Below are 24,578 nucleotides of genomic sequence, written 5' to 3'. Positions count from 1 at the left end.
ATGGCTTCACACAGCAGGACTTTATTCCCTTGGTTACAGAGGACAGAAGTCTGAGATCAAGGTGGCAGCAGGGCCGCGCTCCCTGAGGGCTCCAGGGGAAGGTGCTTCCTCATCTCTTTCAGCTTCTGGTGGCTCTGGCCCTCCTTGGCCTGTGGCTGTGTAACCCCTGCTGGCCTCCAACCTCACGTGGCCTCCCCCTGCTCTCCAGTGTCCCTCCTCTCCTTTCCTGTATAGGGACACTTGTCATTGCATTTAGGGCCCACACAGATACTCCAGGACGAGCTCATCTCAAAATCCTTGTATCTGCCAAGGGCCTTTTCTCCAGGAAGAGCTCGTGCACAGCTTCCAGCGACTGGGGACGTGGACACATCTTCTGAGGCCACCGTCGGCCATGACACGATGGGGCGGGCATTGGCTCTGTCCTCCTTGCAACACCGGGAGCAGTTGCTCCCCCCACGGAGGCTCCCTCCACGTATTCCACCCGCACCAGACCCCTCCCAGAGAGAACAAGACAGACCAAAGCCCAGCCTCGGCGGGGCCGACACCCGTGCCCCATAGGGGATACCCAGCCAGGTGAGAAAGTGGAAGCATGGCCTAGACGGTGGGCAAACACGAGAAGGGGCTGTGGGAGGGGTCAGGGGTGATGGAGAAACCAGGGTTGGTGGCTGCCTGGGCCTGACCGGGGCTGGCCGAGCTGCGCAGGACCTCCTCCCTAAGAACTTCACTCCAAGCTGCCTCAAACGACTGCCCTTGCCCAGCACTGTTTGAAGTGCCCAATAGAAAGCGACCCCAGAAATTAGGCCATCCCACTCCCAATGGCCCTTAGACAGGGGAAGTCCTCCACGGGCAAAGGGTTGCGGTCGCCGTCGGAGACCTGGGATAGGAGACTCTGCTACCTGGGATAGAAGCCGGGCGCCCTGCCTGGCTCGAGGATGTACGAGGGATCAAAACTCTTCACCTTGCGCACTGTGGCTGAGGCTGAGCTCCTCATCCCGCCCCTGATGGTGAGGCAGCCAGGAGGGACCCAGGCAGCCGGTCTCCCTCTGTGCGTCCCTCTGGGCCCCTGGTGACTGCAGGTGACCGGAGCTACCAACTAAGTTAATAGAGATGCTCCAAGTTTCACCCAAACAGGAGGCAGGTAAGCAAGGCTTGGAGGCGCTAGTTGAAACAGGCCTGGACGGTGACCTCGAGGAGGAGGTGGAGCCACGCCGGGAGAGGTCCCGGAGAGCAGCGAGGACCGGCATCTGGGGTGGAGGCAGCAGGCAGGGTGGCAGGAGGTGCCCCTGGGCCACACGAGCTGTGCCGTGCGTTTCAAAGCCATGTGCAACAATGCCGGGAGCTGGGTAGCCGGCATGCCCCCGCCCAGAGCTGCACAGGCTGCTGGTTTGTGTTGCAGAAGTGATTTCCGAAGCCAAGTCCATTTGAGAAACGTGAAGAGAAACAGCATCTTTACGACCGAATTTCTGGCTTGAGCTGACACACTCTGCACCCCACCCAGGAGCTGCGGAACGCAGTCCGTGGAAGGAAAAACTCTCTTATCAAGAACATCTTACTGTCCAGTGTTCTGCAGAGCAAAATGCGGAAAACAATCCGTCAACGGCTGGGAGCCCAGGCTCTGAGGCAAACAGATGGACAGTGAGGGGGTCTCCTTAGGAAGGGGTGGGGGCCGCCCCTGCAGACCACCCACAGACGCAGTGGTCGGCTGACACATTAGGAGAGCCAGTCCCAAGCCTGGGAACCCAGGCTTCGAGCTGTCCATAAACGGTCAGTCCAGTGAGAGGGGGAAACCAAGGCACAGAGAGGTTGGGTTATTCTCTCAAGGCCACACAGCCAGGCCCCTGTCCACAGTTCTAGGCCCCCTGTGCCCACAGCCAACCAAAGACTAGCAGGAGCAGCCCAACATCAGTGGAGTACCCGGAAGGTGGCCCAGCCTCACTGGGCACAGAGGGTCTCCATTCTCCTTCTCCCTCCCCTCCATGCACCAGGTGAGGTGGGAGCGGGTGGAAAGCACTGACCTGGTGCCTTCAGTTCCCCTGCCAGAGGGGCTGAGGAGGAAGGAAAGGCCTGCCCACACTGACAACTTTTTGTTTTAGCTCATTCCTGCAATTTCTGTGAACAGTGCCACACCCTGTCACTTCTAGGGAACTGGCCGGGTGCCCTCCGTCCAGCCAGCTGGGTCCCAGAGGACATGAAAGGATTTAGGGACCGGGAGGAGCCTCCAGGCAATGAGCGCTGGTCTGAGCACAGAAGGGCCTGAGAGAGCTGGGGGCAGCCTCGTCACAGGTGAGAAGGCTCCGCCTGCCCCCACTGCACCCCCCAGGTGAGGCACTGGCACCCTCCCCTGCCCTCCGCAGTGGCCCCTGCTCTCAGCCTGGCTCCCCGGTGGATGGGGCTGGCTGGGATGTTTGGATTTCCTTTGGGAAGGGAAGGCAGGGCGGGATGCGGGTGGGAATTCCGGCTAAGTTGAAATGTGTGGACACCAGAGCTCAAGGGCGTCGCTGGAGCGGGCCGAGCAGGTGAACCTGTTCTGATAACAATGAAGATGCCCCCTCCTGCCGCCGGGCCACTCCTCTCTGTAACTCTCTCTCCAGGAATAGAGCCTAACCTCACCCCAGCATGGGGGGCCTGAGCGCCGGCCTCACCCCCAGCCTCAGACTCTGAGCCAGAGCCAGAGCACAGCCAGGAGAGTCTGGTTTCCTCCTTGAGGAAATTGAGGCTCAGAGAGGGGAGGTGTGTTTCCACCCCACCACCCCACCCCCAGTCACCACACTCACCACCACAAGCCAGGGCCCGGCCGAGGTCTCCCACTGCCCCTGGTTGGGCTCGGAGGACAGGCCACCATCACCGTGTGCCCGGCCATGGCAAGGCACAGGAGCCAAGGCCCGAGCCGCACTCCCCAACCCCTGACTAGGGGCAATGACAAGCACAAAGAAGGTGCCGGGGGATGCTCAGCCATGAGGCAGGGGGCTCACGGGGGTCGGAGGAAGCTGCAGGGGGTTGCAGGCCCCTGAGAAGGAGCAAAACCTTGAAGTAGGGTGGGACCTGGGTCAGGGGAGAGGTATTCAGGGCTGTCTGGGCAGGGGACACAGCCCAGGCAAAGATGTGACAGGGAGGGCTCCAGGTGTGTGTTGGCGGCTTGATGGCTCTCTCTCTGTCTGTCTCTCTCTCTCTCACACACACACAGTCTGTCTCATCTCTGTTTCTCTGTGTCTATCTCTGTCTCTATCTCTCTGTAGCTCTCTGTCTCTGTCTCTCTGTCTCTGTCTCTCAATGTCTGTCTACATCTCTGTCTCTCCCTGTCTCTCTGTCTCTCTCTATCTCTCTTCTCTCTCCCGTGTCTCTCACCGCTGACGCCGCCACTGCTGAGCCTGGTCCTGATGCATCTCCCAGGACTAAGAACATGACCCATGTGGATCCTGGGGGAGGAGGGATGGCTGGAAAGGGAAGGGCTGCTCTGAGACCCTCTGCCTTTCAGCGCAGCTTCCGGTGGCCAATCTCTCTCGCACTCTGAGAACATCCTCGGGACTCTCAGCCTCGCTCCTTGCAAGTGGCCACTTGTATCTGCCCCTCCCCTTGTGTTAGTGGCTCCTGGAGAGGCCCCCTGGCCCTGCCACCATCACCAAAGCCCCTCTCTTGGCTTGAGGCTTCAGAGCAGCCTCCTGAGTGCACCGCCGGCAGCATGAGCCCCGGGATTCAGCTTCTGCTTAGGCCAGGAGTGCACAGGGAAGGCTGGGGGCTCCCTCCAGCTCCTCACACCGCATCTTCCCTCCTCCCTCCTCCTCAGACCACCTGCAGCCTCTGCCTTTGGGCACCTCCCTGGACACCTCCAGAGACCCTCCGGGGAGGGGACTTCGCCAGCAGGCTGGTCTAGGCTCACCAGGTGGGAGCCCCATGAGGGTCCACCGTGGAGAAGCTCCCACCTCTGGGGGAAGAGGAAGGCGCCACACGTGGGTTCCCCATGCACGTTCCCTCTGTCTGCAGACCCTTGTCTGGCACACGGTGGAGGGTGCAGCATCACCCTCACCACATCCATGAGGGACATGGACATCTTTTCAGCAAGTTAGTCCACCCTGCCAGGAGCCCAGGGCCTGCCCTCAGGTATGGGGAGGCATTAGGCACGCCTGACCTGAGGTGCAGAGGGCTGAGACCCGGCTGAGGTCCCGCCGCTGGGAAGGGTGGTCCAGGGGCTGCACCCAGAGGGCACCTGCAGGGCCATGGATGCCACTCCCTGTGCCCCCAGCGGGGGCACAAAAGACTCCTGAGGACCATGTCTGTCTCCATCTTGCAGGTCCCTCGCCAGCACCCTCTGAGCCGGCCAGGATGTTTGGGCTGTTCGGCCTCTGGAGAACCTTCGACAGTGTGGTCTTCTACCTGACGCTGATCGTGGGCCTCGGGGGACCGGTAGGTAACGGGCTGGTGCTCTGGAACCTCGGCTTCCGCATCAAGAAGGGCCCCTTCTCCATCTACCTGCTGCACCTGGCCGCCGCCGACTTCCTGTTCCTCTCCTGCCGTGTGGGCTTCTCCGTGGCTCAGGCTGCCCTGGGCGCCCAGGACACACTCTACTTCGTGCTCACCTTCCTGTGGTTCGCGGTGGGGCTCTGGCTGCTGGCGGCCTTCAGCGTGGAGCGCTGCCTCTCCGACCTCTTCCCCGCCTGCTACCAGGGCTGCCGGCCCAGACACGCCTCGGCCGTCCTCTGCGCCCTGGTGTGGACCCCGACCCTGCCGGCCGTGCCGCTGCCCGCCAACGCCTGCGGCCTGCTGCGCAACAGCGCGTGCCCCCTGGTCTGCCCGCGCTACCACGTGGCCAGCGTCACCTGGTTCCTGGTGCTGGCCCGCGTCGCCTGGACGGCTGGCGTGGTCCTCTTTGTCTGGGTGACCTGCTGCTCCACTCGCCCGCGGCCCAGGCTCTACGGCATCGTCCTGGGCGCGCTGCTCCTGCTCTTCTTCTGTGGCCTGCCCTCGGTCTTCTACTGGAGCCTGCAGCCCCTGCTGAACTTCCTGCTGCCCGTGTTTTCCCCGCTGGCCACGCTGCTGGCCTGCGTCAACAGCAGCTCCAAGCCCCTCATCTACTCGGGGTTGGGCCGACAGCCCGGGAAGCGGGAGCCGCTGAGGTCGGTACTGCGGAGGGCCCTGGGGGAGGGCGCCGAGCTGGGTGCCAGGGGACAGTCCCTGCCCATGGGTCTCCTATAAGTGGGCTTGCCCCGCCCACAGGGCCTGCCAGGAGGTGCCCACCCCCACCGACCCTCGCTCACCCCACACCCAGATGCTTTCAGGACCAGGAGGAGCCCCGCCCACCACCTAGCTCTTACCCTGAGCACCCAAGGGCTGGACACAGCTGGAGAGACTTGGCCCTGACCACCCCCCAGCCAGGCCTGCTGAGGATGAGGGAGGCAGAAAATGGAGCTGGAGAGAGGTCAGGCAAGGAGAGAGAAAGGAGAAGCCTCCTGAATAGGGGTGAGGACAGGCACCACGCCCCCAGGCCCAGCCCAGATCCCCTTACCCGGCCCCTCCCCACCCTGCTGCACCTGAGTCACAGGGGAGAAAACTGCACAATAAAACAGAGCCAGCCACCAGCCCACAGTGGCCGGATTGGAACCCAGGCTTCCGGACTCCTGGGCTAGGTGGGCGCCGTCCATGCCACCTGCTGGCTGAGGCTCTGATTCGCCCCCTACAGAGTTGAGGTGGAACTACTCCTTACTCCCCGCCCTGCTCAGCCATCATTGTCCTGCCCACCCCGCGGGGACCACACCCAGGGCTCTGTCCCCCTCTCTGAGGCCCAGGACTGGCAGGTGCCTGATGTCACCAGCAGAGGCCACCAGGTGGTGCTGCTTCTGCACAGAACAGACCCAGCCCCGTGGGCCGGCGGATGCAGGAGCCTCCATCCCCTCGGTCCCCTCCCATCCCCTCCCACACTGGTCCCCACCCGGCCTCTCCTGCGTCCCCAGGGCCATCCGCTCTCTGCGGGTTGCTCCCGTCTCCCACCTCTGCTCTCACCCTCCCTCCTCAGCCCTGGATCATCTGGAGCTTTTGCCCCAAGTGTTTGCTTTGGAGAGAGAGAGAGAGAGACAGAGAGAGAGAGAGAGACAGAGAGAGAGAGAAAGAGAGAGAGAGAAAAGAAAAGAAGGAAAGAAGGAAGGAAGGAAAAAGAAAGAAAGAAAGAAAGAAAGAAAGAAAGAAAGAAAGAAAGAAAGAAAGGAAGGAAGAAAGGAAGGAAAAAGAAAGAAAGAAAGCAAGAAAGCAAGAAAGCAAGAAAGCAAGAAAGAAAGAAAGAGAAGAGAAGAGAAGAGAGAAGGGGAGGGGAGGGGAGGAGGGAGGGAGGAAGGAAGCGAGGAAGGAAGGAAGGAAGGAAGGGGATCCAAGTTTCCAAAGTGCAAACCATTTGATGTGTTTTCTGACCATGAAATAAAATACTTTCTGGTCATTTTTAAAACATTCAAGCCCTACGGAAAATACTAAAAAGAGAAATCGCCAAAATTTTTTTCCACCCAAATGGGGACATTTTTGATGAAAAGCACTCCAGTTATGTATTTTTTTAAATAAAGACCTGCAGAAATTTTCTTTTTTGCCCAAATGAAGGCATTCAATGGGTGCTCTTGGTGCCGGGTGGGACATTCTGCAGCTGCCTTTGCATAAAGTTGTTCTTTTTCCACTAGAAAAGTAAAACGTTGCTCGTTTATGGAAACTTTGAAGAAGGTTAACAACTGGAAAGAAGAAAAGCTTACATGTAGTCCCCCAACCCAGAGGCACGCACCTTTGCTGGTTTTTCTTCCTTCCCCGGGATGAATGTGTTCTGGCCACGCCAAGTCCCGTGCCCGCCTGCCCGCTGCCAGTTCTCCCTAGACCGTGCTCTCAGGACTGGAAGCTCAGCAGGGAGTGTGGGCACTGTTGGTCTGAAGGCCATCTGGGGGGCTCAGGAGGATGGGAGTGTGGGCACTGTTGGTCTGAAGGCCATCTGGGGGGCTCAGAGGGACGGGAGTGTGAGCACTGTTGGTCTAAAGGCCATCTGGGGGGCTCAGGGGGACGGGAAAGCCTGAGCCCTGGTGGCAGGGGGAGGCTTAGGCTTTGAGGGCAGGGTGGGAAGGGTTGTTCATTCTTGTGACACTTCACACAAGACCCCAGGAGCTGTGTGGCCTCCTTCCTGAAAGACCTGGAAATGGGATAAGGGTGGGGACAGTTTCAGAGGTGAAACCTACAGGATCTGTCCCATCCTCCCAGCCCAGGAAATAGCTGCAGGGCCCCCTATGGGGCCATCCATCTGTGTGCAGCAGGACAGGAAGGCGGCTGGCTGCTGATGGTGTCTGGGGCGCATGACAAACAGCCCAGTCTAGACAGATGGAGAGCGAGGGGCTTCTGCCCCGGCACCCACTGCTGAGCCCAAAGACAACCAGGTCGAATTCTGTACCTGGAGAAGCTACAGCCACATGGAAGGACAAGGTTGCCCTGGGCTGGTCTGGGTCCAGGCAGCCGCAAAAGCTGGACTACAGCCCAGATGGAGCTTCGCTCCGGTCCTGCCCGCTCTTCTCGGGCTGAGTGACCTCCAGCGTGTCACCTGACTGCTCTGAGCCCAGGTCTGTGAGAGACATCAGGGCAAGGTCTCCTTGCCCGGATGGCAGGGATCCAGGTCTCCACAGAGGGCGGCCCGCCCAAACCTTCAAGGCCAAATGAATCACCTGGCCCACCTCTGCAGACCTCCAGGTGTGTCCCGCCCGCCCTGACCTTGGCACACCCACCTCGCTGCCTTCTGCTGTCCCTGCCCCTATCACTGTCTTGCCCAACCTTCAGGGGCCTGTCCTTGTGACTGTCTGTCCTGCTCTGTGATGCCCAGGGCTTCCTGGCAGCAGAAGCTGAATTCTCAGCTCCTCTAGTGTGCACCTGCCCTGTCAGCACCCACGGTGACCACTGTGCCCAAGCAGCCCCCACCCCTAGCCAGCACAGTCCAATGTGTCATGTGCTTCCCATCCCTGCTTATTCGCTCCTGTGTTTGCCTCTTTAGTGTCTGTGTCTCCCTAGAAGATGAGCTCCATGAGGGCACAGAGCCAGCAGCTGACTTGCTGCTGTCTCCCTGGGACTGGCAGGTAAAGCGGCTTGATGAGTTGTTGTCAAATGGATGGACAAGTGGATGGATGGCTAAGTGGATGGATGGATGGATGGATGGATGGATGGATGGATGGATGGATGGATAAGTGGATGGATGGATGGATGGATGGATGGATGGATGGGTGGGTGGGTGGATGGATGGATGGATGGGTGGGTGGGTGGATGGGTGGGTGGGTGGATGGATGGATGGATGGATGGATGGATGGATGGATGGACCATTGAAAGAGATGTGGTCAAATGAATAAATGATGTGGCGAAGACAGAGTGCAGCTAACTGGAATCAGACCAGGCTGGTCCTGGATTATGGAAGCTTCCTCTCCACTCTTGTCCTGACCACTGACCTGAAAGCTGAGCAGATCATCAGAAGAGGGGCCCAGGTTTTCTCACAGCAGAGTCCAGTGCTCCAGGCCCTCTCCCTCCCCTTTGGGTTCACAAACATCACTAAGTTAGCTCCATGCTGGGCACTGGGCCTAGGGCTCAAGATGTGGACCCACCATGCTATGACCCCTGTCCCCAGAGAGCTTGACGTCTGGAGAAGACACAGACATAAACACAATTCAAAGACAGTGTGCTGAGGGTGCACGTGGTGTACAGAAACGCTGGGGAGCCGCCATTTGTCCCAGCTTGCCCTCAGCGCTCCCAGTTCATGGCTGTGGCCCAGTGGCCTTAGTGTCCCCTTTATTGGCGAGGGCCCAGTTGGACCTCAAATCATCCCGTGGTCCTAATGTTAGAGGAGCAGGAGGGTCACATGTCCCCACTCGGAACGCAGGGGAGGCTTCCTGGAAGTGTGTTGTCTGCGACTTCCAAGGGCAGTGTGGGTGCAGAAGAAAGAGTGACCGTCTCTAGCACAGTCAGGTCAATCTAAGAACCTTGAAGGGAAGGCAGACCCTCCCAGGGAAACGGAGCCAAGGCAGGGTAAGGTACGGAGGCGCAACCCGGGCACCATGAAGAAGAAGGAACCCCGATGCTAGAGCCCGGTAAGGAAGCTGAGGTGGCCAAAGACACCGAGGGGAGATGAGAAAGGGCTGTGACGAGGGGCGTGGCTTTAAAGGGCTGTGACGAGGGGCGTGGCTTTTCCTCGGTTGCTCTGTGGGGGATTGCAAATGGATTGTAAGCAGGAGAGGGATAATATCAGACGTATATGAAAGAAATAAAACTAACAACTGAGAGGGGGTCAGCGGGGGTGGGGGTCCAGGCTGAGCAGGGGACACACAGGAAGCTGCTGCAGCAGCAGCAATGCAGGGAAGAGGGAAGAGCTGGTGCAGCCTCCAAAGAGGACAATGGCAGGAAGGCTGCAGGAGAGGATCTGAGGTCTGGGGGGAGACGTAGCGTAGAATTTGCAGTGGAACAAGGTCCGATCAGGAAAGGAAGAAGTCAGGAGCCTTCACAGAGGGGAAGGGTAGGAAAATAAAACACAGGCACCTGCCAAGAAGAACAGAAAGATCAGGATCCTGAGAGGGGGCTGTGGATCCTGAGATGGGGCTGTGGACCCTGGGAGGGGGCTGTTGATCCTGAGAGGGGGCTGTCGATCCTGAGAGGGGGCTGTGGATCCTGGGAGGGGGCTGTTGATCCTGAGAGGGGGCTGTTGGCAGCTGACCCTGGGATGGGAATAGGGATGTATCAAGCATGGAAAAAAGACACCCAGGGGCCAATGGGTAAACTCCCAGGTTTGCATTTCCTGTGTTCATCTCAGATTAAATGTAGGTGGTGAGAGATGATGATCAAAGTTCATTTTGTCTGTTTCTTTCCCATGCATATCCAGTTGTTCTGGTAAAACCCCTTTTCCCATTGGATTGCATTGGCATCTGTATTGTAAATCAACTGATTGTATAGGGTGGGTCGACTTCTGGACTCTATTCTGTTGACTGCTCTATTTCACTGTCCTTCTATCAACACCGCACTGTCTTCATTACTGCAGTTTTACATTAAGTTATGAAATCAAGTGGTGTTACTCCTACACTTTTATATTTCTTCTTCAAGATTTACATTTCTATATAAATTTCAGAATCAGCTTGACAGTTTGTGCAAATGTCTACTGATTTTGACTGGGATAGCATTGACTCTATTCAGTTACTCTGGATCAACTTATGGAGAACGGACGTCTTGGCAACATTGAGTTTACCAATTTATGAACATGGTTTTTCTCTGTTTATTGTGGTCTTCTTTCATTTCTGTCTCTGTAGTTTTCACTGTAGGTGTGTTATACATTTCAGGTAAAATGTATTGCTAGTTATTTAAGGTTTCTCAATGCTATGTAAAAATAATCTTTTATTTGCTTTTTCCAATATTCATTGATAGTTTGTATATTGTTTGTATATTGATAGTTTGTATTATTTTTGTATATTGACTTTGATTTTTTTATATTTATCTAACAGCTATCCTGTGAACTTGCTGAATTCACTTATTCTAATAGTCTTTTTGAAAACTGCTTAGGAGTTTCTACGTATACAATCAAATCATTTGCATGACATTATTATTGTAAATAATGAATAATGAATAATTATTGTGAATAATAATTAAAATGATGCATGATTAATAGTGATAAATATAAGAATTAGGAAAATTTTAATAATTATAATTAACACATGATTAATAGTTATTATAAATAATAATAATTAGAAATAATTTTACTAATTCCTTTCTGGTCTTTGCACTTTTTGTTCTTTGTTTTATATCACTCATTAAGACCTCCCATACAATGTTAATAGAAATAGTAAAAGTGGACATCCTCACCTCATTCCCAACCTTTCAGGAAAGTGCTCAATGTTTTGCCATTAAACATGTTAGCTGCAGGCTTTTTGTATGTGCGCCTCATCATAGTGATATGATTCCCATCTATTCCCAATTTTCTGACTTCCTTTAATCACACATAGGTATTGAATTCCATCAACTTTTTGTTCCTTCATTTATTAATGCGACCATGCAGTTTGTCTTTGTTAGTCTGTTAATGGGAGGAATTGCACTGATTTATTTTCAAATGTTAACTTTGTATTCCTTGGATAGTCCCTGTCACGCATGTCCATGTGAAGAGACCACCAAACAGGCTTTGTGTGAGCAATAAAGCTTTTCAATCACCTGGGTGCAGGTGGACTGAGTCTGAAAAAGGAGTCAGCAAAGGGAGATAGGAGTGGGGCAGTTTTATAGGATTTGAGTAGGTAGTGGAAAATTACAGTTAAAGAGGGTTTTCTCTTGCGGGCAGGGGCAGGGGTCACAAGGTGCTCGGTGGGGAGATCATGAGACTCGTTGTCCAGGGGAGGAATGTCACAAGGTCGTTTGATTAGTTGGGGTGGGGTAGGAACAAATCACCATGGTGGAATGTCATCAATTGAGGCAGGAACTGGCTATTTTCACTTCTTTTGTGGATCTTCAGTTGCTTCAGGCCATCTGGATGTATACGTGCAGGTCACAGGGGATATGATAGCTTAGCTTGGGCTCAGAGGCCTGACAATCCCCACTTGGCCATGACATATTATCCTTTTTATATATTGGTGGATTTGATTTATGAATATTTTGAAATGGGTATTTGCATTTGTGTTCATGAGAGAGGTTGGTGTCTCATTTATTTTCTAGTGATGTCCTTTTCAGGTTTGGGCATCAATTATTTCCTCTTGCTCAACTCTGTGTAAGAGTTTGGATAAAACCAATATTATTTCACCAATGAAGCCAATTGGGTTTTTGTGAACAGGTTCTAAAACACAATTTCAATTTCTTTAACAAATATAGGGCTATTCAGATTCTCTTTTTCTTCTTGTGTCAGTTTTCTTTTTCAAGGAATTTGTCCACTTCATTTTATCTGAGTTTGAATTTGTTAGCATAAACTTGTATACCATATCCCCTTATTAATCTTTTATTGTCTATCAAATTCACATATCTCTTTTTTATTTTTACTATGGGTACTTTGCATTTTCTCCTGAAAATTCTCATTAGGGCTTTATCAATTTTAGTAATCTTTTCATAGAACCAACTTTTATTGATTTTTCCTATAGTGTTCATCTGTTTTCTATTTAATTTCTGTTTATCTGTATTTATTACATCTTTCTGTCTAAATCATGAAAGTTAAATTTGTTCTTTTTTTCTAGCTTTTTGAGTTAAGCAGCTTAGATAATTTTTTTAAATCTTTTCTTGTAGGCTGCATAATGCTCCCTACCAAGATGTTCACCCACTTGTAATATAGAAACACTCCATATGAGAGCACAGATTACCAGAATAGGCATTTTTTCATGATGCAACAATATGCTGCCTACAAGAGACACATTTTAGATTGAAAGGCACAAATAAGTTAAATGTAAAAAGATATAAAATGAGGCTGGTCACAATGGTTTATGCCTGTAATCCCAGCACTTTGGGAAGCCAACACAAGAGGATCACTTGAGCTCAGGAGTTTGAGACCAGCCTTGGCAACACAGTGAGACCTTGTCTCTACAAAAAATAAAAAATTCACCAGATGCAGTGGTGCACACCTATAGTCCCAGCTGCTTGGGAGACTGAGGCCAGAGGATCCTTTGAGCCCAGGAGATCAAGACTGCAGTGAGCTGTGATCACACCACTGCACTCCAGCCTGTCTCAATAAATTTTTATTTCTATTTATTTATTTATTTATTTATTTTGAGATGGAGTCTTGCTCTGTTGCCAGGCTGGAGTGCAGTGGTGCAATCTCAGCTCACTGCAACCTCTACCTCCTGGGTTCAGGTGATTCTCCTGCCTCAGCCTCCCAAGTAGCTGGGACTACAGGCACATGCCACCATGCCCAGCTAATTTTTGTATTTTTAGTAGAGATGGTTTTCACCATGTTGTCCAGGATGGTCTTGATCTCTTGACTTTGTGATCCACCCACCTTGGCCTCCCAAAGTGCTGGGATTACAGGCAGATATAAAATGATATTCCATGTAAACAACAACCAAAAGAGAGCTAAAATGGTTATAATAATATCAGACTAAATAAATTTAATTTAAAAAAATTGTTACTAGAGACAAACAAGGACATTATACCATCATAAAAGGGTCAGTCCATCAAGAGATACCACAACTATAAACATATATGCTCGTGGTAGGCTAAAAACAAAGCCCCCTTAAAACATATGCATGTCCTAACCCATGTAACCTGTGAATGTGAACTTCTATGACAAAAGGGACTTTGTAGATATGATTAAATTAAGGCTCTTGAGATGGATAGATGATTTTAGATTATCTGGGTGGGCCCAGGGTAACCTCAAGCGTCCTTGTAAGAGGGAGGCAGAAGATCAGGGTGAGTAGGAGGAGATGTGATGATGGAAGAAAGAGACTGGAGTGATGTGAGGACAGGGTTATGAGCCAAGGAAGGCAGGCAGCCTCTAGAAGCTGGAAAAAGCAAAGAAGAGACTCTCCCCTAGAGCTTCCAGAGGGAGTGCAGCCCCATGGACACCCTGGTTTTAACCCGGTGAGACTGGTTTCAGACTGCTGACCTCCAGGACTGTTAGATGATAAAGGCATATTGTTTTAAGCCATTGAGTTTGTGTTCATTTGTGACATCAGCAACAGGAAATTCATACAGACCATGTCCTTTCCAGCTTCTGCCTTCTTTTATTTGCTCTCCTGTATCTTCAAACGGTTGCTTTTGATTCTTCCCAGAGTTGACAGTTATTTAATAACAGCAGGACTGCTCTGATGTCAGCTACCCTACCATTACCAGAAACAGAACTCATGTTACCCTTTCTAAAATGAAAAGGATATTCTTGACTTCCAAAGCACATGGGTCCCCAAGGGTTTGCAGATCTGTACCTATCTCATAGGCTGTGTGAGGGTTAAATGAGAGAATTCACGGCACAGGTGGTTTACAGGAAGCTGGCATGAACTGAGCCTTCAGGCATGTTGGTTATGGTCAGAAGAATAAAAGGGAGTCATCCAGGCCTACAATTTATAGGTGCATTCACAGGACTTAATGACAGGCTGGGTTTAGGGGTGCCTTGTACAGGCTGTTCCTGGGACATCCTCCCGTTCCCTTCTCCTTGTCTGTCACTGCCTCCTCCTCCAGGCAGCCACACTGCCAAGTCAGTTTCTTCCTTATGTGGACACCTGTATGTAAGCACAGTCCCAGGCAGGAGCTGAGGGTTTGCAGAATAAATAGATGCTGGATCTGGAGGGAAACTGTTCTAAAGTCCAGGGAGGCCCTGTGTCATTCCACCTGCACTGCGTCCTGGCATCCCACCTACTGGCTGACCTTAGCCAGCTAGAGCTTCCCAGAGACCCATCTGTCTGCACTGGATTCCCCTCCAACAGCTACAGGCCCCACAGCAGGGGCCCTGAGTAAAGACCCAACTCCTCCAAATTGTGTTGAGCTGCTGCCAGAAGACGTTTCATACCTTGAGACCACCTGGCATCCCTAGTGAGCATCATAGAGACCCTGCTTGGCCAGAGAGCTCACCACATGCATCACAGCAAAGGGCAGGCCCTCACGGGCCATCCCCTTGGGCCAGAGGTCAGCAACTGTTGACCTACAGACCAAACCAGTGGAGCCTGCAGATGCGCTTGGCTGGCATTCAGTAATTAAAGTCTTTTGGCGTTAGTTGCCAGCACTGAACAATAAGAAGATTTTACATTAAAATCCAGCTTTCTAGCCCTCCTGAATATCAGCGGCTGGCAGACCTGGCCCTCAATGCCACCTGGCCACAAAGGAGGAGTTGGAGAGAGTCTGGGGCTTCAGGCAGGCATGCCCTCCACCCCCGTGAGCCCTTCTCTACTGTCACCCTGAGTCCCAGGTCACCCATCATGGCACCGCACTGTTCATTTCTAGATTGAAGATATAATTGAGTGGGTTTTTTGCCACCATTTTTTGTGAGAATGGGGAAAAACAGATCCAGAAGCCTCTTGTTTCAGGAAAAAATTGGAGCTGGCCTATTTCTTTGTGGATATAATGAGTAGATAACAAGATGTGTCTGGCACTGAATTCACCTGCCATGGTAAGAATTCATCCCCCTTGGTCTGGACCCCATCCTTCTGCAATGGAGAAACTGAGGCCCAGGCAGGGTGAGACCGGCCCAAGGTCAAACAGCAGCTCAGCAGCGGTGCCTGGGGACCTAGGTGTCACCCACAGCCTCCTCTGACAGGTATGTGAGGACATCTGTAATTCTCAGAGCCACACACCCCAGGACTCTGACGAGGACTTTGTTTCAGTCTCCCAGGGCCTGAGGAGTGTAGTAGGCTCAGGCCTCCTAGAGATATGCTGTCCCAGCCCTGTCCCCCAGACAAACTTGTGGGGCTTCAGCAAGGGTGGCAGATGGCCCGTAGCTGGGCTAATGGCCTGGAAAAGGCTGCCTGCAGGAGGAGGGAGGCGGCTGCAGAGACACAGAATAAGAATACTTGACAGTGTCCTGTAGGGAGCCAGTCCCAGTCTCGCCAAAGAGGCCAGGAACCCGGAGCAGACAGATGGAGCTGTCCTCTCTGAAGCCAGCCAGCCTGGCCATGCAAGCTTTCCTCCTTTTCAGCATGTCATCACGAGGCTGCTCAGCATATGCACAGGGAGAGGGGCCAAACCCCTGCACAGTGTGGCCTTTTGGAGCTGATTTGCAGATAGGGCTATCCCCACCCCCAAAATATCGCCTCCACTGTCCTTCATAAGATCTGAAATTTCACCATTAACATCACACTTTGGGGGTAAGGTGAGACAGACGGAGCTACCAAATTGGAGAGCTAAATGGCAGGTCCCACACATGGGCTGGGACCAGGGCTGGCCAGAAACCATGAAGTGGGAAGAGCAGGTTTTCAAAATGTCACCCCAGCTGCTGTGCTGAGAGGTAGTGGGGGACCAACTAGACCTCCAGGAAAGCCCAATGCCAGTGATGCCACCTCACACCAGGTGCTTGACATAGCACCCATTTCTCTTATCATCTTAACTTCACCATCACCATCCTCACCATCACCATCCTCAACATCACCATCATCACCATCACCATCATCATCACCACCACCATCATCATTTCCATCACCATCATCATTACTACCATTCTCACCATCACCGTCATCACCATCACCATCATCACCACCACTGCCATCATCATCATCACCATCACCACCATCAACATCACCATCATCACCACCACCACCATTATCACCACCATCACCACCACTACCACTATCACCATCACCACCATCATCATCATTATCACCATCATCACCACCACCGTCATCACCATCACCATTACCATCATCACCATTATCACCATCATCACCATTATCATCATCACCATCATCACCATCACCACCATTATCATCATCACCATTATCACCATCATCACCACCACCACCATCATCACCATCACCACCATCATCATCATTATCACCATCACCACCACCACCGTCATCACCATCATCATTACCATCATCACCATTATCACCATCACCACCATTATCATCATCACCATCATCAGCACCATCACCATTATCACCACCATCACCATAACCATCATCATCATTGTCACTCCTCCTCCTTCTCCACATCCTCCTCAAAGTATTCCCAACTCTCTGCCAAGGAAAAAGGGATGAGGGAGAAAACAAGCCACCCATACCTCCTCCACACTCCACGCCTCGGCCCACAGCCAGCCCTACACCACCCTCCATGCACCTCGGTTCACGCTCCTTACACCCGAGCAACCTCCTCTACTGGGCAGGTCTCCAAATTCCCCTGCTTTGACGCCATCAGTCTCTACATCCTGCCCTGAGAGCAGCCTCCCTGGCAGGTGTACTCACTTGTATCCAAGCTCAGGTACACCTGGAGTCAGGGGCCATGTTTCTACCTTGGGGCTCCCAGGACTGGGTGCAGGCCTGCCAGGGGTTCAGCCACTGCCCAACACAAGTGGGGGAGGGAGAAGGGAGGGGATGAGAGGGAGGTGAGAGGAGGCAGGGGATGGAGCCAGGGAAATGAAAAGGGAAGGGGGGGAGGGGGATGGGGAAGGAAGTGGGAGGGAGGAGAGAAGAGAATCACGGAGAAAGGGAGGGGGCAGAAAGGAAGGAAGGGAGGAGTGTGGAAGCCAAGGAGAAAGGAGGGGAGGGGAGAAAGGGAGGGGACAAGGTGCCTGAAGAATAGCCAAATATTCGCTCTTGGCTCAGACTCATGAATTCCCTGGAAAGTGAAAACTTCCCAAGCCACACGCAGCCTGACTAAGGGCCACTCACAAACCCTGTGGCTCTCTGAGGGTGGTTTCATTCTCTCCCACAGAGAGAATAAAATGTCTGCTCAGCTGAATAAAAGGAAACCAAAATCACAGTGAATCTCCCTGTTATCCCCTGTTCTTGAGACTGGCAGGTTTTCTCTCTTCCTCCATAAACTAAATGCATCCTCTGTGTCCATTGAATCACGGAGGACACTGTGGCTAAAGTCCATTGCAAGAACTTCGAACTCTGGAGCTCAGGGCCAGCAAGCCCTAGAGAAAGCCACACTGCAAGCAGCTCCCGGCCCCAGGACCTGCCACGGAGTTTGCATGGCTGCAGTGGGTGTGAAAAGGCTCAGGATGTGGCAGCTGTGCTGTGTGTGTGGTGGTCCAAGCCCCTGTCCCTCAGACCTGCCCAAACTGCATTCCCCGCCCCTCGTTACCACTGGGTGGTGCCCCCAACCACCTTGTCTCCTTATCAGTGGGCAGGACGCTGGCGATGACCCACACTCCGCTTGGTAAAGTTGGTGGCATCTGGAAGGTTCCAGCTGGCCCCTCTGACTTCTATTAGTGCACAGGACGTCTGTCCTGTCAGGGTTCTCTGCTGAGGCCAGACGGGGGAGAGTCTGTGCAGGGACGTAGGCACTCTCGGTGGCTGATGCGGGGAGCCCCTGGCCCTGGCCAGTGAGTGCAGAATGTCCTAGAATGCCACGATTCCCCAAGATGGACAAGATGAAAACCGAAAGGACAGATGATGACATGTACAAGCCCCTCACCTGCACTCCATCCTTCTCCCCACAGCCAGCCCCACAGAGCAGCCTCCTTCTGCCTTAGCTGCCCCAGCTCAGGTGCACATGGGTTGTGAAGCTTGCCATCCCCCGAGCCACCCTCCCTCAGGGACCTGGGACCAGTCAGTGAGCCATATGGAGACTTGGTGTCCACATCTGTCAAATGGGGAACCGGGTGGATGGCAGGCAGTGTTCTGGTGAGACTGAATGAGAGAAAGCGTGTCACAGTGTCACTGCGCTTGCCGAGCTTGACTACACACCATGAACTGGGCTACACTTCCTTACAGAAATCACCCCCCGATCCTCGTGAGGTCAGCACAGGGCCGCTGAGTGGCCGGTGGCAAAACCCAGGCCGTGGTGTCCAAGGCCTTTTGCTCCCTCCTTGATGGGCGCGGGAGTGGTCTGAGCACCTTGCTCACACAGTGTTCTCAGGATGGTGCCTGGCAGAGGGGGTGGGGGCCGGGCTAGGCACCCCTCTCGGAACCCCCTGCAGCCCTGGCTCCCGCAGCTGTGGCCACTTCCCACAGCACGCTGAGGTGGTCACCCAGCATCTGGGCCAGCAGGGGATCTAGCTGTGCTAAGGAGAGGCCGGCCCTGCCCCACACTGGCACACAGGAGGCAGAGATCCCCACAGCAGAGGCCAGGGATGGCTCAGCTGACACATTCCAGGTGCAAGGGAGAGGGCTCTGAGATGGCCTGTCCACCTGCCCTCCCGCACCCCCACCCACGGGCAGCCTCCGGGATCACCTGTGTCTTGGGTGCCTGCAGCCTTCGGGATCACCTGTGTCTTGGGTGCCTGCAGCCTCCGGGATCACCTGTGTGTTGGGTGCCTGGGTGCCTGCAGCCTCCGGGATCACCTGTGTGTTGGGTGCCTGGGTGCCTGCAGCCTCCGGGATCACCTGTGTGTTGGGTGCCTGAGTGCCTGCAGCTCCCTGGGCCCGGGCTCAGTGCTCTTGCCTCCCAAAAGACACTTCCTAGAAGCTACAGGCATTCCCTGGGGAAAGGTGAACATGGGGACTGTCTGGGGGGCAGAGTGGGGGCTGGGCAGGGAGGGAGCCGAGTGCCCAGGCGATGGGGAATAATTCCAGAATACAGAAAGCCTGAATTGGGGAGGCAGCTAACTTGCTGTGTGACCCCAGGCTGTCGCCCACCGTCTCTGTGCTCTGCCGCACCCCTCCTTGAGGTGAGAGGCCATGGGTGGTCCTGCAGTGCCGTGCCCTGTCAGGGGGTCTTCCTGGTGTTTCTCCATGCAGCGTTTGCTTCCTACTGCAATCCCTAAGCGAGCCCGCCGCGGAGACGGAGCCGTTCCGAGGTGTTAGGTAACAGCAGCGTGCACAGCTCCTGGACTGCAGCGGCTGCAGCCAGGTCCGCCTAGCGCCCAGAAGGCGGCTGCAGCAGCAGGTCCTGCGGGAGGGATAGCTGGCAGCCCCAGGCGAGCGCACGCAGGGGCAGTTGTAGGTGCAGCTGGGATGCGCGTCTCCGGGGCACGCCCTGAGAGCCGCTGTCGCCTGCAGTGACCCCCCACCCCCACCCCCAGCCTGGCCTGCTCTCCCAAAACACCCGCCCGTGCCCAGAAAGTCTTGGATACTCCGTCTGGAGCAGCCCGTCGGCCTGGAGGGGAGCGGTCGTGCCTCCGGCACCCGGACAGGCAGCAGAGCAGAGCAGGCACAGGACCGGCCGGAGGAGGGACCCCAGCCTCGCCCCCATGCCCTGCTGCACGGTGAGTGCCGCCTCCGGGCACCCCCAGCCCACCGCCTGGGAGCCTCGCGCCATCTGTGGAGGGGGCTTCCTTTCTCCACGGGCCACCACTGCCGGTGGTGTCGGAGGGAGACGCTGTGGAGGAAGCATTCAAGGGTCTGGAATCGTGTGGTGGGGAGGGGGCTGGGAGCAGCTTCTGCCTTCTGCCGGGGAGTGCAGGGCCCCCCAACCCTGCCCCAACCAGTTTTCTGCTGACTTCTTCAAAGTTCCCCGGGGCTGGCACCTCGGCCAGCAGGGCATTAGCTCTGGACGCCTCGCTCGCCCGCGGACCCCCAACACTGTTCAGCCTCGTTGGAGCCCCTCGGGCAGGCAGGGCAGGCAGCGGGCTCCAGGGCAGCATCGCGAGGTGCCCCCAGGTCTGGGATGCTGCATTGCACCCACATCCCGGTGCCTTGCTCCCTCCTCCAGGGCAGCACTGCCCGCCGTGGTGGTGAGGGGACTGCCCAACCTCCCTCCAGGGGCGGGACGCCCACCAGGCAGGATGTGGGACATGAGAGATTAGGACTTGCAAGGGCACTTCTGAAGCATCTGTTCACCACCTGTGCCTTTGACTTTTGACTTCTTTTGCTCACAATTTTTTTTGTAAGAAACAGACTTGAAAGGGGGCATTTCTCAATTTGACTTAATATTGCCTTGGCAGAATGGAGTTTATGCTGAGAGATCGGGGTGGTGAGGGAGGGGTCTCCTACACACCCTGAGCTGGCAGGGGACTTGGCTGGACCCTTGGGAACAGACAGGGGTTCCTGAGAGCAGAGCGTGGGGTCAGCAGAGCCCAGCTTCCCAGGGCCTTTGGAGATAGCTGAGCTGTCTGGGACACACTGCCAGGCCGACACCCCTCAAGGGAAGCCAGCCTCAGGCCTGAGATCATGGGGATGCTGACCCTCGGCCTGAGGTCCAGGGTCCCTGGCGTCGTGGGGGTGGGGCAGTGTCACCTTTTTGTCCTTTGGCCTAAAGGCTCCTAAGAAAGGATAGTCAGCTCCCCATGGCTCTAGACATTTTCCTGAGGGGTGCATGAGGAGCGGCGATGCTGGACCAAGCCCCCCACCTGTCCCTGTAGGTCCTACCAGCAAATCCCCAGGGAAGGGGCAGGTGCAGGTGGGAATCCCAGCTCCCTCCTGCCAGCTCAGCCTCAATTTCCAGAGATGCCATGTCTTCCTGTGTCAAATGGGAATTTGAGCAATCCAGGTAGTCATGACAAACAGGACCCTGGTTGTGATGGTGCCTTCTCGGGGCCTCATGCTCAGGGTGCTGGAAGAGGTCAGAGCTTTGGCCTCACGACGGCCAGAGGCTGGGAGGGACGCCGATGGCAACTGCTGCACGCTGTCCGCCCACATTTGCACAGCATGCCCTACAGGTTGAATCTGCTGGGTTTCCAGCCGCCACTCAGAAGCCACTCTGCTCTCACGTGCCATGTTGCATCTGCTCAGCTGCAAGTCCCAAGAGCCAGTGGGGGGTCCCAACGCCTAATGGAGACCACCGTGCTCCGGCACTTACAGGAGCGTGGTCAGCAGGTGGCCTCCCTAGAGGAGCCCTCACAGGGTCCCAGCAGAGCAGCTGATGCCTCTGCCGGGCAGTCCACTGCCAGGGGTGTGCTTCTCTGACCAACTTGCTTCAAAGCGGAGGACACACTACGGGGGCCCAGGACCTGGGTGTGAGTCCTAGCAGTGCAGGCTCAGGCGGGGCATTGAGCCTCTCTGACCTCGGTCTCTTCTTCTGTGGAGAGGGAGAACCGGCCCTGTCGTAGAACCCTCAGGAGGCTGTGAGGAGAGGAAGAGGTGGTACCTAAGGCTCTGAGCATGGCGCTTTGCAAGTTAGTGACATAAAGTTAACCAGGACCACTAGGCAGCTGTGCGTCGTGGCTGGGACAACCGGTCGGTTCACGTGATGTGGTCCAGGGCTGGGACACGAGACCCAGGACCCAGCTGCCGCCATGAGAAAATGGTTGAACTGAGCGGGTTGGATGAGGTTGTCACCAGGACCCCCGGTTTCTCAGGCTCTGGGAGTCTATGGTGGAGAGCACAGAGCGGCAGCAACCCCCTGCCATCCTCTGCTCCGCCAGGAGGCTCCTCCATGCCTTCACTCTGCAGCTCTCCTCTGGCCAGCGTTCCTCTCTCCCACACCAGCGAGCCCCTGCTGCAGCCCCATGCCTGCCCCGGACTCTCCTTCAGAACTCTCTGGAAGCCTGCAAGGCAGCAGAGGTGTCCTGAGGTTGGAAGGTGGCAGTGGGGGGAGGGGAGAGGAAGAGGAGGCCAGGGGCTGTGCGGGTCTTCACCTCCCCAGCATGGGAGCTGATGGGGTTTTGTTCTGGGTGGAGGTTGATCCTAGAGGCAGGTCCTGCCCCAGAACTAAGACTCCCAGCCCCGCACAGCCAGAGGGGCCTCAGAAGAGCCAAGGACCTCACAGCCTCCATGTGTCCGCCCCAGGTGCCCCAAGGGCCTTCCAAGCAGGCCACTGGCTCATTCCTCCCTTCCCAGCAGGGCTGCGCCCCGTCCATGAGGGCCAGGTAGCAAGGGGCTCAGTCAAATCTCACTCCTCTGACCGCCTCAGCTTAGGAGACCCCCAGAGCCCTTCCCTGCAGGGGGCCCGGGCTGTGCTGAGCCTGGTTCCTGCCTCTGCCAGGTTCCTTGCCTGACGTTGCCTCCTCTGTGACTTGGTGGCTCCAACCCATGAGGAAAGCTCAGCCCTGCCCTACCCTCAAGGAGGCACAACTCTGCCTGGAGAGTCGGGGGGCTTCCTGGAGGAGTTGGTGGAGAGTCAGGGGGCCTTCCTGGAGGAGGTGGTGGAGAGTCAGGGGGCTTCCTGGAGGAGGTGGTGAAGAGTCAGGGGGGCTTCCTGGAGGAGGTGGTGAAGAGTCGGGCGGGGGGGGGGCTTCCTGGAGGAGGTGGCGGAGAGTCAGGGGGCTTCCTGCAGGAGGTAAGGCTCACCCAGACTCTCCAGGGAGTTGGAACTGCCCAGGGACTCAGAGTATCAGGAAGCTATTCCAGGCCAAGGGGCTCCACGTTCAAAGCATGGTGGTGTGGATGCTCCTTCCCCTCTTCATTCTGCTCTGAGGGAGCTCTGCTGGGCACCAAGGAGGGTGTGTGCCTGGGATGATCGGGACTAGGCCAGAGGGGCCAGCATTGGCCAGATCACAGAGAGCATCAGACTCCAGGCTCGTGAGCTTAGAGTCGGTCCTAAGAACAGCAGAGACGGGAGGGTTCCAAGCCAGGGGACAATGTGGACAATGTAGGTTCTAGAAGGTCCTCAGGCTGCATCCTGGGGGCTCCCAAGGTGTGGGGAAGGCGGGAGGTGAGGAGCAGAGGGGGCCGAGCAGGACTCCCATGATCCTGCTCAGGGACCTTGGTCATGCCAGGCAGCCCTGTTCCACTCAGCACCCCTGCTGCTTTCTTTCCCCTTGTTCTCTGACCCGTCACCCTCTCTAGCCCCCAGGGCAGAGAAATCTGTTCCTGGGCTTTCAGCCCTGGGCTATCCTTGCTGTATTCCCCACCTGGAGAGCAAACAGCCCTGAAATCCAGTGCCCGTCACTGCCCGCTCCATTCTGGAGACAACCGAGGAATTGGGGATGGAGCGCAAACAGGCTGCAATGGAGCAGCTGAGCCCAGCTGAGCCCAGCTCAGCCGCCTCCTTGCGCAGGGCCCAGCCTCTCTGCCTCTCCACGGAGCTGTGGGGAGGCCCCAGGCAGCAAGGCAGGGCCAGAGCCTTGGGGCGGCAAGGAAGCAGGACCCCGGCCTGGACCCCACACTGCAGTCTGTGGTACTGTGATTCTGCCGCCGGTGCCCTCTGCCATCCACTCGAAGGCTCTCTGGCCCCTTGGGCCCCAACCTGCACCCTGTGTCCTGCACCCTGTGTCCTGCACCCTGTATCCTGCACCCTGTATCCTGCACCCTGTGTCCTGCACCCTGTATCCTGCACCCTGTATCCTGCACCCTGTGTCCTGCACCCTGTATCCTGCACCCTGTGTCCTGCACCCTGTATCCTGCACCCTGTGTCCTGCACCCTGTATCCTGCACCCTGTATCCTGCACCCTGTGTCCTGCACCCTGTATCCTGCACCCTGTGTCCTGCACCCTGTGTCCTCTGAGCAGCAGGTTTTCCGGGGTCCCAGGTACCAGTGCTTCTTGAGACCTGTCAAACCATTGCGGACTCCCAGTGACCTGAGCGGGCCAGATGCCCCGGAACAACTGCAGCTTAGGACCCTTGGCAAACCCTCAGGGCTGAAGCCCTGTTCCCAAGGCAGACCCACGCTGGCTCTCAGAGAACTGAGGTGCGGGGACTGCTCAGGGGGAGATGGAGGCTGGGGCGATCAGGAGTCTGAGCTGGAGCCCTGGGGCGCTGTGCTGAGCCCTGCCGCCTGCCATCAGTCCTGGACGCAGCCCTCAAATGATAACTACGTCTATGGGGGACATAAGAGCCAAGCTAGACTCCGCTAATTGACTGAACAGAGCCTTGCAGCGAGGCACAGCAGGGTGAAGGTTGTGCTCACAGGATCTGAGTTCAAATCCCAGTCCCGGTACTTCCCAGCCGCGTGTCCCTGGGCAAGCGCCTGTGGTCTTTCTCTGCCTCAGCTTTCCCATCTGTGAAGTGGGAAATGATACTAATAATCTCCCCTCACTGTCTCCCTGAGAATTAAATGAGCTGCCTTGTGTGTGGTGCCTGGCACATAATCTGACGCTTTGTGTGGGTGGCTGCTGTTGCTAGAGAATTAATTTTGATGTTGCATTTTCTACTCATTACTGGGAGCCACGGCTTCACGTCTCCGCTATTTTGGTAGTTACCAAAATTCGTGTAGGCCCAAGGTACTGGAGGCCAGGTAGT

The 24,578-nt window shown here is 55.3% G+C and overlaps 1 protein-coding gene and 1 long non-coding RNA gene across 2 annotated transcripts, besides 2 other annotated features; one reads left to right on the top strand and one right to left on the bottom strand.

Annotated features, from left to right (window-relative positions):
* Window positions 1-2: 2 nt before the first annotated feature.
* MRGPRG-AS1 (MRGPRG antisense RNA 1) lies at window positions 3-4,802 on the bottom strand. Its single transcript, NR_027138.1, has 2 exons — window positions 4,575-4,802; window positions 3-1,564 (listed from the first exon to the last, which is right to left on the bottom strand). It is a non-coding gene; the product is annotated as an MRGPRG antisense RNA 1 (long non-coding RNA).
* Window positions 2,263-3,225: an enhancer, noted in NCBI's record as "H3K4me1 hESC enhancer chr11:3241139-3242101 (GRCh37/hg19 assembly coordinates)". NCBI's record gives its function as "activates a minimal SCP1, AML or CMV promoter by ChIP-STARR-seq in primed H9 embryonic stem cells {active_cell/tissue: H9 hESC(primed)}" and the evidence as "EXISTENCE:reporter gene assay evidence [ECO:0000049][PMID:30033119]".
* MRGPRG (MAS related GPR family member G) lies at window positions 4,321-5,190 on the top strand. Its single transcript, NM_001164377.1, has one exon. The coding sequence runs from the start codon at window positions 4,321-4,323 to the stop codon at window positions 5,188-5,190; it is 870 nt and encodes a 289-aa protein (NP_001157849.1).
* Window positions 20,510-21,165: an enhancer, noted in NCBI's record as "H3K4me1 hESC enhancer chr11:3223199-3223854 (GRCh37/hg19 assembly coordinates)". NCBI's record gives its function as "activates a minimal SCP1, AML or CMV promoter by ChIP-STARR-seq in naive H9 embryonic stem cells {active_cell/tissue: H9 hESC(naive)}" and the evidence as "EXISTENCE:reporter gene assay evidence [ECO:0000049][PMID:30033119]".

This window comes from Homo sapiens, chromosome 11, assembly GCF_000001405.40.
Source record: "Homo sapiens chromosome 11, GRCh38.p14 Primary Assembly".
Taxonomy (NCBI): domain Eukaryota; kingdom Metazoa; phylum Chordata; class Mammalia; order Primates; family Hominidae; genus Homo; species Homo sapiens.
This window is presented reverse-complemented; position numbering and strand designations above follow the sequence as displayed.